The sequence below is a fragment of the Homo sapiens genome, chromosome 12 (assembly GCF_000001405.40).
Source record: "Homo sapiens chromosome 12, GRCh38.p14 Primary Assembly".
NCBI classification, from domain to species: domain Eukaryota; kingdom Metazoa; phylum Chordata; class Mammalia; order Primates; family Hominidae; genus Homo; species Homo sapiens.
The window spans coordinates 47,896,397-47,910,078 of record NC_000012.12 but is presented as its reverse complement, the minus strand read 5'-3'; the positions used below and the strand labels follow the sequence as shown (position 1 = coordinate 47,910,078).

The 13,682-nt window shown below is 49.0% G+C and overlaps 1 protein-coding gene across 8 annotated transcripts in view, besides 2 other annotated features; it reads left to right on the top strand.

The window, feature by feature from the left end:
* Positions 4,963–5,092: a silencer, noted in NCBI's record as "silent region_4404". NCBI's record gives its function as "represses an Ori minimal core promoter by ATAC-STARR-seq in GM12878 lymphoblastoid cells {active_cell/tissue: GM12878}" and the evidence as "EXISTENCE:reporter gene assay evidence [ECO:0000049][PMID:35858748]".
* VDR (vitamin D receptor) overlaps positions 5,085–13,682 on the top strand; it is a 63,458-nt gene continuing 54,860 nt past the window's right edge. For 3 of the 8 annotated variants that reach the window (NM_001374662.1, NM_000376.3, NM_001364085.2), the window contains exon 1: positions 5,085–5,124. Coding sequence is in view for 2 of the 8 variants with exons in the window: in XM_024449178.2 (XP_024304946.1) it covers positions 5,449–5,515 (67 nt within the window). In the remaining 6 variants the exon portion in view is untranslated. Of the gene's footprint in view, positions 5,516–8,368; positions 8,446–10,120; positions 10,243–13,682 lie in introns of all 8 variants that reach the window. The other 5 variants (XM_024449178.2, NM_001017536.2, XM_047429500.1 and 2 more) reach the window with 4 other exon arrangements.
* Positions 6,476–6,675: an enhancer, noted in NCBI's record as "active region_6276". NCBI's record gives its function as "activates an Ori minimal core promoter by ATAC-STARR-seq in GM12878 lymphoblastoid cells {active_cell/tissue: GM12878}" and the evidence as "EXISTENCE:reporter gene assay evidence [ECO:0000049][PMID:35858748]".

The following is a 13,682-nucleotide window of genomic DNA, read 5'->3' as shown; positions in this document are numbered from 1 at the left end:
CTTTACCATGCCAGCAGACGCTGTGTGCAGGCCAGCAGGCTGGCAGCCTGGGGCTTGAGGATGTGGGAGCAGGTGGGAAAGACAAATACCAAAAGCCCCGAGGAAGAAGACATGAGCTGGGCTACTGGGAATGGAGCCCTGGAGCCAGATGGATTTGGAGTGAATAACTGGTGGTGCCCTACTCTTTCTAGGGCAGGCTGAGTCTGTGTGCATTCACTTCTCATGGCATTGCACAGGACTCCTTGGAGCTGTTCTGTTCTGTTCTGGAGCAGTCAAGATTTCTGAGATGCCATAGGCATCATGAGGCTAAAAGAACCCCCCAAACCTGGAAAATACTTGTGAGTGGTAATATATCAGTTGAGTAAAGGCCACAAAAGCAAACATTGGGTGGATACATTCTGCCTCAGTGACCTAACCCTGACCATGCACCCTTGGAGGTAGAATCACCAAAACCATCATGTATCCCCTGCAGGGTTCTGAGGGGGCTACTTGTAAGCCATTGATGGTCTCGCAAATGTATTTCTGTGAATCTCATGTTCCAGATTCTAAATGAGGGGGTCCTATGGTGAGAGGGACTTGTTCTGTCATTCAGAAAGGCAAGATTCCATCAACTCCCTGGATGGAGTCTTCTGTCAGTTGGCTACTCAAACAATAAAGTCCGCCTAGCCCATGATCTAGGGCAGGATTTTTTTTTTTTTTTTTTTTTGAGACAGGGTCTCACTCTGCCTCCCAGGCCTCAAGCATAGTGGCATGATCATAGCTCACTGCAGCCTTGACCTCCTAGGCTCAAGCGATCCTCCCACTTCAGCCTCTCAAGCAGCTTGGACTACAAGCGCACACCACAATGCCTGGATAATTTTTAAATTTTTTGTAGAGATAGGGTCTCACTATGTTGTCCAGGCTGGTCTCAAACTCCTGGCCTCAAAGTAATCCTTCCACCTCAACTTCCTAAAGTACTGGGATTACAGGCCTGAGCCACTGTGTAGGGTAGGATTTTTAATACTGTATTTTGGGTCACAACCCATTAATGGGCTGTGAAATAAATTTGGTGGATCCCAAAAGGAAAGGAAGGAAGGAAAGAAGGAAGGAAAAGAAAGGAAAGGAAGGAAGGAAGGAAGGGAAAAGCAAGGAAAGAAAGAAAGGAAGGAAGGCAGGAAGGAAGGAAGAAAGAAAGAGAGAAAGGAAGAAAAAGGAATGAAAGAGGGAAGGAGGGAGGGAGGAAGGAAGGAAAAGAGGATAGAGAAAATAATAGAAAACATTGTAGAACATCTTTTGTATCAGGAACTTATATATATTCCTGAGTAAACTAGGTCACAGTAAAAACTTATTTCTTATTATGGGTTGCAGTTAAAATTTTGAAAAATACTGTCCTGGGAAGACCCCTTGGTTTGCTTTCATTGCTACAGCTTCTTACATTTATTCATTCTATTTTTACCATCTGGAACATAAATAAGGAGAGTCATCCCTGATCCTTTTTGTCTTAACTTGGGTTAGGAAATATAAATGAATTAATCTTTCTGAACTTAACGTGTGTTTTTTAAAAAATCTCTAAAACAAGGGAACAAACTGAAAAGATGGCCTGGTCCCTTCTGTCTTTCTAACTCCACGCTCATGTCTCTCAGAATGTTCTCTGGGTGTTTACTGAAGAGAGGCTTCTCTTCAGTCCTACCGTGCTCATAACCATAAAATATTTAAGGGGGGAAAATGGCCCTAAAAAAGGGAAAAACAAACAGTCAGATGGGAGTGTTCCAGAGAGAGCTCAAAGGGCACATTTTTACCTGCAGAGCAGCCTTTAGACAGCTCAAAAAACCTCTGTCCATGGGGACAGGGTCTCTGGGAGACTCACAGGGACAAAGTGACCCACTCTAGCTCTGACACCACAGCAAGAAGTGCAGAGAGCATCAGCCAGCCTCGAGGACAGTGGCCAGGCTGCAGAAAAAGGAAGCCCAGAGATGAGGACAGGCTGCAGTCCTGTGGCCTGACTGTAGCCACAACTGCCCAGGCCATCCCCAGGTGCCTGGAGCCTGGCAGAGAGGTCAAGAGACCAGGCCCTGCCTTTCTTTGGACTCTGTGGAATGAAATGCACAGGAATGAAATGAATGAAACGAAATCCTCAGCCTAGTACCTCTGGAATCTTTCCATCAAAGTCAGATGCACCGGGAAGGGCTCTTTTGTTTCTATATAGATTTTTGAGTCTATAGCACTATAGCAGAGTATCTAGCACACCACCAGACTTGGCTAATATTAACCAAGCAAGTGCTTACGAGATATTCCCTGATGTAATTTGGCAGAGATGAGTACTGACAAAAAACAATCTGTACATCCCAATAAAGACCACTACCCATCCCAGGGATAAGTGAGAATATGAGAAATGTTAACTTCAGGGAAAAGAAAAATTAATGTCTTCTGCAGAGGTTCTGGTACCTGGTTTATGGAGAAGTCAAGATAGGGGAATTTAAAACTATTAACTCTGTAGTGCAGGAATGGTGCTTGTCATCGAGGCATCAAGAGAACACGGTGTGGGACAGCAACCTCCCTTTCCAGTTGTGTACCTGGCTAGGGAGAAGTAGGGTCCAGAGACAATTAGGGATTACAACAGAACACAGGAGAAGTGAATCTCATATGATGTTGCTTTTCTACTTTCACAAAATAACCTTCCTTCTAAGAATAAAACAGGCAAAAAAAAATCTATCTTTGTTCAATGTAAATACAAGATGGTTCATTAGCAGGTGCCAAACCATGCAATATAGAAAATGCATGCGCTACAAAGACCAGAGAATTGACAGTTCCTTTCCTGGAGATGTTGGAAAAGCCTGATGGAATAGGCAGGACCTGAAAGAGGAGAGGGTCTGGAGAGGTGGATGAGAGAGAACAGTTCAGGTATTGGGGGAATATGGGAAGAACATGGTTACAGACAAGGTGACGGGGCTGATGACGGCATGTGCTGGGGACCGTGATGACATCTATAATCTTGCCCATCTGCCAAACGCAGAACCTCTGAGTTCTTCAACTCTGTGAAAAGTGCATGCATGGAAATTTTTTTTTTGTTTTTTAGAGGCAGCATGAAACAGTGGGATGTGCAGAGAGAAGATCTGGGTCCAGTAGCTCTGACACTCCTCAGCTGTAGAAACCTTGACAACTCTGCACATCAGTTGTACAATGGAACGGTATTTTTTACTCTTCATGTCTGAAAAGGCTATGATAAAGATCAAGTAAGATATTCCAAAGAATTTTTAAATTATAAAGCAGTTTACACATGTGAATTACAAGTACCTCTCCTCCAACAAAGGCTGTGAAAAAAGACTAACTCTCAGTTACTACGGAATACTTAGTACGCATCTTCCACCATCTTTTGATAAGGTTTATTTGCAAGATGTCAGGCCAGTCAAGCACCACAAAAGTGACTTCTGAGTGTTCAACCTCTTTCAGAGGCTCATGGGACTTGCAGAGAATGTCCCAAGGTATTGGTGGTTGGAAATTTCCTCTTATGCTTTTCTTCCCACAAGAATCACCGCTAGCTTTCCCACGATGCTTTGGGCAAGGGGATCCTTCCTATTACTTTCATTACAGGTAGAGAATCCATCCATCAGACTGGCAGGACCTCTAAAGGGGCACTTCATCTGTTTCTCAGAATAAATGGTCCATTCCCAAGTTCAATCAAACGCTATGCCTCTCTTCTGTCTTTTGTTTAAGTCTTCCCAGAAAGTTGCCATGATACCTCCATAATGAACTGTTGCAGTGCTTAACAAACTTCACTGTTGGAAGGTTCTTCCTTCTATTTAATCTCAGTCTATTTCTTTTAACCCTATTATTGAGTTGTGAGGGGCTGGTTATGATGTAGTCCAGCATAGCTGTCTCAGAAATGGTTCAGAGACCATTGCACCAGCAGATTTGCTGGGCTCTAGCACTAGTCCTTCATTGATTAGCTGAGTCATGTTGGGCATATCACTTAAACTTTCTATGCCTCAATTTCCCACCCTTTCACCTTGTCCCTCTGAGCCATGGTTTCCTCCTCTGTAAGAGGCGAATAGCAATATCTTCCCTGGCTAAAGGAGGTCATCGACTGCTGGATGATTTTGTGAGCATTTCTATTCCAGAAGATTATGTTGTAATTACTATTTATTTATACATTCTCCCACTGCACAGTGAGTTCTAAGAAGAGGGAACCCCATCTTTTTCACCTGTCCTCTAGCAGATAGAGCGGTGCCTATCACACAGTCAAGGGAAGCAGAGAATAACTTTAAGCCAAAATTTCCTGTGGTGAGTTTTCCGCAGCCATCCACAATTCCAGGTCTCAGGAGGTAGTCTTTATCTTTTCCCCTCACGCCGATGCCACGGGGCGGGGGGGGAAGGCGGAACTCGGGACCAGGGACCAGGGAAGCTGAGACTCAGCTCCCTTGGGTGAGATTCGCGACAGGCCGGGAACGTGGTCAGCCGCGGTCGCTGCCAAGGTGATATCGGGTGGGAGCAATGACGCAACTCCGGTTTCCACTTCGGCCCCCCGGGATATTTTACCCTAATCTGTGGGATCAGGCTGAGCTTCCTGGCGTTCTGCAGCAGTAACAGGTTGGCGAGCGGAGCCCGGGATTTCCCATTCGTGCGGAGCTAGCCGCCGGTGCCAGTCGGCAGGCGCCCCCCAGCGTCCCGCGGACGACGAAGTCCTGGCCTGGTCAGCCCAGGTGGGGGTGACGCACCTGGCTCAGGCGTCCGCAGCAGGCTGGGTAGAACCACGGCAGGAAGGGTGGGGGGCTGCATCCCCGATTAACACAGGCTGAAGCGGGTATCCGCACCTATAATCATCGACAACTCTGTCCCACAGAGGGCAGAAGCGTGCCTTGCCCTATGGACGACGGTCGATGAAAATTTCACGAGTTAGAGTATCTAAGGCTACAGCGTGGCCTATAGGGTGGTTGATTCCAAGTCAAGATGGTTGCAGCGCCAACGGAGCTCCTGGCAAGAGAGGACTGGACCTGTGGGCGGGGCGGAGGGGCGGGGCGGGGCCGGGGCGGGGCCTGACCGAGAGGCGGGGCCAGGTGCTGGGCTGTCTCTGCTTGTCAAAAGGCGGCAGCGGAGCCGTGTGCGCCGGGAGCGCGGAACAGCTTGTCCACCCGCCGGCCGGACCAGGTGCGAACCCGGGAGCAGCGGGAAAGGGGGTCTCAGGATAGGGACTCGGGGTCGGGGCGTCTGGGATACCGGGGCCTGAGCGCCCGGCTGCGAGCATTAGAGTCTAAGTCTCAGCGGTAAACTTGGCTACTGAGGTCCGGGCTGTCGTGCCATGAGGCTGGGACACTAAGGGGCACTGAGGTTTGAGAAAGCTGAAGTTCGTGCCAGGCTGGCGAGGGGAGCAGCGACATCCTCGGCGCTTAGGAGAAATGCTCCGCTAACACAGTGCTTAGCACTTGGGCAACAAGAAGTATTTGTTTCCTTCTTCTGTCGGGGCGCCTTGGCATGGAGTGGAGGAATAAGAAAAGGAGCGATTGGCTGTCGATGGTGCTCAGAACTGCTGGAGTGGAGGGTGTGTAACCTTATTTATTGTCTTACAGGGCCCAGGTATGGTCACCTGTGATGGTGGAGTTGGGTCTTTTAAGTAATTTTTTTTTTTTTTTTTTTTTTTTTACTTTTCTTTGAACTACCAATGAGTTTAGACCTAATTGGCCCTATTTTTTTTCAGGACAGCCTGTCAATAGATGTTCAGAGGAACTCAGGGGCAAGCATTTAAATGAGGAAGGGGCTCAAGGAGTAGTTTCTGTTTGAAAAGTGAGGTGCCCTGGATCTGTGGGTGGTGGTGAGGAAGATTCAGAAGTATCTAGGAGGGAACAGCCTGTGGTCTCCAGGGCCAGTGTACAACTGCCCCTCCTTCTCTTCACCCAGGGACCAGAGTCTGAGACCTAGCCTGGGCTGGGGGAGCCTTAGGTCTCCAAGCCCAGACCCTTCTCACAGTTCCTCCTCCTTCTCCTCCTCCTCCTCCTCCTCCTCTTGTTCCTCCTCCTCCTCTATGCGTGCGGTGAGTGAGTCAGCCTCCTGTCTGGGCTCAGTTGCAGCCAAAGGGGCCAGAGCCCAGGCAAGCAGTTGGGCAGGCATTTTCTGAGCATTGCAGAAGCTCTCCTGGGCAGAGTTCAGCTCTGCTCCAGCTCCCTGCTGGAAGGTGGTCTTCCTCATGGGCAGGGGCTCAGATACCCAACACAGCAGTGCTTATGGAATGGCTATGAGATGATTCTAGCAGGAGGTGACCGTGAAGGGATAGTGGCTTTATGATAAATCTACATCTCATCTTTCTCCTGGGATAAGGAGGTGCATCCCAGCACTGCAGGCTTTTCCAGCCCTTCCTTCCATTTCTGCCTAGTGGTCTCATTAGCAGCCCATCTCTGCTAGTGAAGGGGGTGAGCAAAAGAAATTAGGAAAGTCTGGGGCCAGAGAAGTCATGGTGTTGGCAAAGAAGGCTTTAACTCAGGCTAGGGAGTGAGGGTGATTTGCTGAGGTAGAAATGGGTTATCTGAACATTGGAGCCTCAATTCTATGGACTAAGAGTGTTGTGTGTTGAGAGACCTGCCGTCCCTTCCCTGTCCAAGTGCTGGAGGGAACTGTGAGTCTTTCTGAAACAGTCTCAGGGCTGGCATGCAGCCAGACCAGAAGGTAGTAAGACTGCACATTTCTCCCTGGCTTTTGTTTTGGGTGCTAGAGATCGTTGAACAGAAGTAGCCCTCCCTGCAGAGTCCGTGGCCCCCACTCAGCAGCCTCTCTGGACCTATTTGAGAAGAGTCCTGGGAGGCCAATCCAGCTGTGGGGCTGACTCAAACTGCAAAAAGCTGGGGAATTCACAGTCTATGCTCTGGCTGGGTCCCATGGCTTTGGGTTTGGCTGGTCTTGATCAGCTGTGACTTGGACCCTTACCAAGCTAAAGGAGGGACTAGAAAATGGGGTAAGAAAGGAGGGGAAAAAATGAGAGTTAGAAAGCCTTCCCAACCCTTTACTCCTCTTCGGCAGAGGCCATCAGACTTTGTTTGTATAAACATTATGGAAGGTCGGGTGCTGTTTGGGGTGCCCTGATAGTTTGTGTTTATGGTTTCTCAGTATTCTTCCCCTATTTGACCTCAAAACTGATCTCTTTTGTAACTAAGCCCCAGAGGAAGCTCCGAGAGGACCTCCTGAACCCCTACACTCTACCCCCAGAACAGATAGCAGGTGTCCAAAGCCCAGGCTGTGAATGGAGAAAGGCCTGGGACCGAGTGGGCTACATCAGGTGGCTACTACATCAGGTGGTTATCTAAGACACGAAAGGGAGTTCCCATTGTTTCATTCCTTACCCCACATCCTAAGGAGGCACCGCTGTCCTGGCTGGAATAGGCATCTGGAACCTCTGCTAGAAACTCGCTGTTGCCTGTGCAGCAGTCAGGTCCTAGGGGCCAGAGAGCCAGAGACGGGAGGACCACCTAGATGACATTTGGTGTGTTGCTGAATAAAGAATTACAGGGCTCCAGCTTCCATTTGTCCCTGCTGCAATTCTGTTTTGGATGCAGGTAGAGGGAAATAAGGAATTGACCAGATTTGATTAAGAGCCTCTTGTGTGCCCAGCATGACTCCAGGCCCTCTGAGGGATAGCAGGAAGCAGAACCCACCAGACCAGGCCCCTGACTCCAAGACAGTTTGAGCCCCAGGGTGGGCAGCAGTTCTCAGGCTCTCCCTCCACTATTGTCCAGTTCTGAGAGGATCCAGCTGGGCTGAAGCCAGCCTGGCTGCCACTCTGGGCCACCAAGGCCTTGCTTGTCATTTTGCTTCCCTCTGATTTGTCCCTAACCTTTTCCTGTGTCAGTGCCCTCCTAGATATGCTAGAAAGAGTGCCTGTGTAATGTATCTTGCAAACTGGGATACTTCTGAGAGTGAAAGGGGATGCCATGCATGGTTATACCAGGACAATGGACATAAACCCAAACTTTCCAGGGAAAAATGGAATATTAATCACCCTAGTGATCATCACTCCAAACTCAGCAGAGGTCACAGCAGTGATGAGGGGATGATAAGGTTGGGGGAGGCTTAATGCTCAAGGGAAAACAGGGGTAGCTTAATTCTGAGGACAGCCCCCGACACCCTAGCCTGCTCCCTGGTGTTATCAGCCAATTCTCGTCTTTTCCCTGGGGCGGCACTGCTCCCGGCCACCCTGTCCTGGGACCCAGCCCACCACTCGTGTGACTTCCCTTCACCCTTGACTTGTGACTGGCCTCACCTTTGGTTTTCCTGCCCCACCCCAACCTCAGACAGGGACAGGAAGGTCTGCCAACTCCTCTTCAGCTTCCCCTGGGGAAATTGGGGTTCATAGTGGAGCCAAGACTGGGCCTCACGTTTCCTCTTCCCTCTTCCTCCATATCTACAGCCTCCACATTTTGCTCATCCAGCTTCCCAGACCTCTGGGGACCACACTATCCCACAGAAAGTCTGGCTGTAAAGCAGGTAAGCAGCCAGGAAGGCAAGGGTAGGCAAACCTCGCCCACTCTGATAAAGGACATAGGTCACCTATAATCAGGTTCCGGGGAAATGAAAAGCAAAGTGGAGGCCAAAGCCAGGGAGAAGCTGCATTGCAGGAGACAGAGTCAGTTCCCAAAGACACTAGAGTTTGCCTCTTTGGTCTGGTCTGACTATTGGGGAAATGGTCCAGGGTGGGGAGAGGCTGTTCTTGCTCAATCCAAGTGACAGGCGTTGATGGCAGTGCCTGCATCCCGCTGTGGCGACATGTGGAAGAGAAACTGTCCTGCCTTCTGGGTCCTGGGTCCTCATGGTCCAGATGCAAAGGGTGGGATCCCCAGAGGTCCAGCCTGTGGGTGATCGGGCATAGGCGTGGAGGGAGCAGAGCCGCCACGATGACCATGTAGTGACTCTCAGTTACTCTGCCAGGAAGGAAGTCATTCTCACTGCCAACAAATGAAAAGTGCAAGTGAAGATCTCTTGGGAAGTCATGTCTTTGAAGTGACTTGTGGGCAAGGGGGGTAGGTGGTGAGACCGCCCCACCCCAAGGCTGGCTGGGAGAGGATGGGGGTGTCTGGTTGGTGAATAGCAGGAGTGGAAGGCAGAAGCAGTCAGTACTCTGTGAGTTGGAATGTGTGTCATGCTTTTGCAAACCTGCCCTGCAGGTCCTGTGCCAGGGAATAGACTAAGTGGTGTTCCCAGAACCAGATGCCATACAAAGTCCTCATTCTGCACAGGGGAGAGTCCTGGTCCTAAGCAGGGTGTGGGCAGCTGCACCGGCGGGAAAGCGGAGTCTGTGCAGACTCGGCAGTTGGTTCCTGAGAAGCTGCTGCCTCTCACTGGCCTTCTGATGACAACCTGGAGCTTGGAGGTGTTATGCAAGGTGGGACATTCCAGGCACTGTGGAATACCCATGAGGCCCGAGGCTTTGCTGGTGACACATCCAGTGTGTGCCACCTGCTGGTACTGGAGTTGTAGCTTCAGCTACTTACTGAGCACTCACTTGGTAACAGGTGCTGTGCTACGTGCCTCCCAGACCTATCACTAGGTCTTGTGAGGTAGGAACCAGTTATGTTCCCTTTACAAATGAGGAAATGGAGTCTCTGTGAGGTTAATCAACATGCCAAGCTGTCATAGCCTGTGAGGAGGAAACCCACGACTCCCTCTCAGGTTTGCAGAAGCCCATGCTCTTAACCTGCATGGAACTCTCCCACCTCTGCATTCATGGGATGGCCACAGGGCACTTAGTGCCCTGTCTTGTACATTATACACCCGCAGTAAATGTTTATGAGCTGAGAGGTTAGATGTACTAACTAGTTTGAACAAGTTGACCTGAGAACAGGCTTGGACTGCCCAAAGGTTACTCTGGGGACAGTGGCCTCTCAGAAGGAGGCTCCCTCTGCCAGCACTTTTAGATCTTCATGCCTCTCTGGCAGTCTTGGGCACCTTACTCTGGTTAAGAACAAGAACCCAACAGAGGTAGGATTGTGCAGAGAAATTGTGTGGAATCAAATATGACTCTAATAGTCTGGAAGGCAAATAGGAAACAATCTTTCAAACAGGCATCTTTATTGAAAACCTACTATGTGCTGATTGTCCCATTGGCCAATGGGGAGCTATTCTCACTTTGCCTACCTTTTCCCTCTCCTGGCTATCCCTTAAGGGCTCCTGAACCTAGCCCAGCTGGACGGAGAAATGGACTCTAGCCTCCTCTGATAGCCTCATGCCAGGCCCCGTGCACATTGCTTTGCTTGCCTCCCTCAATCCTCATAGCTTCTCTTTGGGGTAAGTACAGTTATGTTCTCTAGCAGGCATAGTGGGGAAACCAAGGTCTAAAGAGATGCAGCCACCTGCCCAAGGCTGCAGAGTCAGCCTGTAACCACTGCTTTACACGGCTTGCCAGCCCTGGGCCTGGCCATACAAACCGCTTTGTCAGAGCCTGGAGACAGAGGTCGCAGGAAGAGAAAATGCTCAGCCTGCCCCACCCCCTGTGGGTCTCAGGGTTCCTTGGTAGATGACTAAAATTTTAGGTAGTGCTGTTAGAAGCTAGTGGCCTGGCAGAACAGGAGAAACACAGGGTCTGAGTTAGACTCTTGGGTTCAAATCTTGGCGAGGTCGCTTTGTAGCTTGTGACCTTGGGCAAGTTATTTAATCTGTCCAAATCTCAGTGTCCTTACCTGTAAACTGGGTATAGTAATAGCTCCCTTGTAGGACTGTGTGAGGATTAGATGATGTAAGTCAAGTGCCTGGCACACAGTAGGCCCTTGAAAGGCATGTGTATTCAGTAGATATGGGCCAAGAGCCTACGGTGTGCCAGGTACTAGTCAAGACACTGGGAATTTAACAGTGGGGAAAAAAGAGACTCTTGCACTTCTTTTCAAAATTTCTAGCCCAGAAGCCTGTCCTTGTGAGAGGCCCGTTTAGAACTCAGGAATGGCTGTCCTGGCACCTGACTAAACTCAGATTTGGCAAATTGGTTTCTCTGTCATTTGTTAGCTGATGAGCTTGTGAAGGTTACTTAGCTTCTCTGCAACTTGGGTTCTTCAATTCTTTTTTGTTCATTTTTAAAAACCGCGATATATCACATACACAAGATTATATGTTTATGTATAGATTAAAGAATCCTATACCCTGTACCTACCACCTAAGTTAAGAGTGGAGCATTCACAGCACCTTAAAAGCCCCCTCTGCCTCTCCCCATTTGCATTCCCCTTCCTTACTCCCCACCCCAAAGTGAATTTTGGTTAATTGTTTCCTTGCTTTTCTTTGTAAGTTATCATCTATGTAGATTTTACAAAACACTATGTTGTTTCATTTCACATGGCTTTGAAGTTCGCATACCTGTGTGTTCTCTGTGATGCACTCTTCTTTGAGTCAATATGAGTTTTCTGAGGTTCATCCATGTCGATGCACACCACTGCAGTTCATGAGTTTGCACTGCTGTGTAGAATTCCATTGGAAAAATACACCACGATTTGTATATCCTCCTCTCACTGATGGACATTTGGGTTGTTTCCAGTTGAGCTATTACGATAGGACAGTACTGCTAGGGGTGTACATGTTATACTTGTCTTCTGGTTCATGAGAAACTCACAAGAATTTCTGTAGGGCACATACCTAGGGTTGGAATTGCTGCCTCCCATGGAATTCTATGTTCAGCATTGCTATAGGGTGCCAAACAGCTTTCCAAAGTGGTTGTCCCAAAAAACACTTCCAGCAGTGGATGAAAGTCTCCATTGTTCTCCATCCTTTTCAACACTTGATACAGGCTTCATTTCTAAAATGAAAAAGTTGCATTAGATGAGTTTCTACAGTTATAATGATTAGCTATAATAGTTGTATTATTCATGACCTAGGGACCCAATTTCTGGCTCATGTGTGTGCCTGTCTGCTGCACTCTGTACAGGTGACCACATACATGTCACAGCCTGAGACATGTCTCAGAGAGAGCTCTGTGCTGGGCCTCTAAGTACAGTTGAAGCCCTTCCTCTCTGGGCTTCCACCAGCAGTGCTTGAGGGATCCCACGGTTCTACATCCTCCCAAACACTTGGTGGTCTCCTCAGTTCAACCAAGAGCCTGGTGTCAGCAGTGAGCCCATACTATGTGCTCAATTAATACCTGGGGAGGAATATATATTTTCCTTGGGCATCAGTTTTGAGAAAAGGACATGGAAGTATAAGAACCATGAGTTTGCTGGCTAATCAAAGCACACAGGGCTGGGGCAGTGATGGATTCATGTCTGTCCTGGGCTTCTTGATCATTTAAGGGCTCCAGTGAGATGGGGTGAAGTTTAGTAGTCTCTACTGGCCATCTCTTCAGAGTCTGGCCTTGTTCTTTGGCCTTTTGACTTGTTTAACCTGAGAAGCAAGGGGTAGCTGGAGGATTGGAGTGGAGGGAACAGAGGCGATGCCATGGGGAAAGGAGCCAAATGCCTGTAGAGAATCCCTTTCCCTTTGAAGGTCGAATACCCTGCTAGGACTACTGGGGAAAAGAGGTGTTAACTACACTCACCATCCTGGTAGCCACATAAACAGCCAGATATTCACCACCCATCCACCCATGGGACAAAGGAATGTGGCTGGCTGGACAGTTGCATGGGCCACCTCAGCTCTCAACTTTGTAATTACCTATCCAGTCTGTGCCTGTCAGCTCCGGGCAGGCAGGTGCTTCTGCCCTGGGCCTCACTTTGGCTCCCAGGCCTGTGCTGGGATCAGGGACAGGGCTCTACCTTCTCCAGCCATCCCCTCACCCCAATTCCACCCAGTGTCTCTTTCTATACCAACCTTTGACCCTTGTGAGGTTACCATATTATGTAATAGCTGACAATCATAATAACCAATGGTTACTATAACTCACTATGTTCCAGGTACTATGTTCAGTGCTTTTCATGCATTTTCTCATTTATGCCTCTCAATAATCCTACGAGGCTGGTAAAATTATACCCATTTTATAGAAGAGGAAACCAAGGTTCATAGAGATTAAGAGGCTAAATTCCTTGCCCAAAGACATTGAGCTACTAAATCAGAACCAGAATTTAAATTCAGGCTTAAGTCCAGAGTGCATGTTCTCTTCCTCACTTGTGCATTGCCTTTCCTGCAGTGTCCTGGTCATTCAGCTCAGTCTTCCCTCCTCCCCTTCCTGTCTAGGAGGGCTGGAAAAAACGCAGCAGGTGGTACGAGGGTGAATGGGGCAGTTCCAATCTGGCCAGGGAGATGCTGGAAAACACCTTCGGGGCAGAGTTCTTTGTTCCAAACGGCTCTGAATTTCCGGACTTCTGCCAGGGGCAGGAAGTGACTTCTGCCCAGCCTCTTTGGCAAGCACACCCATATCTTGGGTGCCATGATGTTAAGAAGTGGGGGAGGGGCTGCCTCAGGTAAAATTCCATTATAATGAACTCCATTTGAGGTCTGACCGGCTTTGTTGAAACCACGTGCACAGCCTGGGAAACTGGAAATGGAGTGGAACTAATTCGAGGTTGGGTGTCTTTTAGCAAAGCCCCCCGAAGGTTTGGAGCCTAGAAGGAGAAGGAGAAAAGAGTCAGACCCACCCCCAGGTCCTCCTGAATGCCAAGCTCCTGCGTGGTCCTGGGCAGGGCTTGTGGGGAGAGCTCTGTGCGTAACTCCACCTGTCAGTGCTGTCATCGTCCATTCCCCCCACTCTACTCCGAGCCCCGAGAACAGATCTGAATCCTGTCTCTGAAGTGCCCCTGCTCCACACAATAACT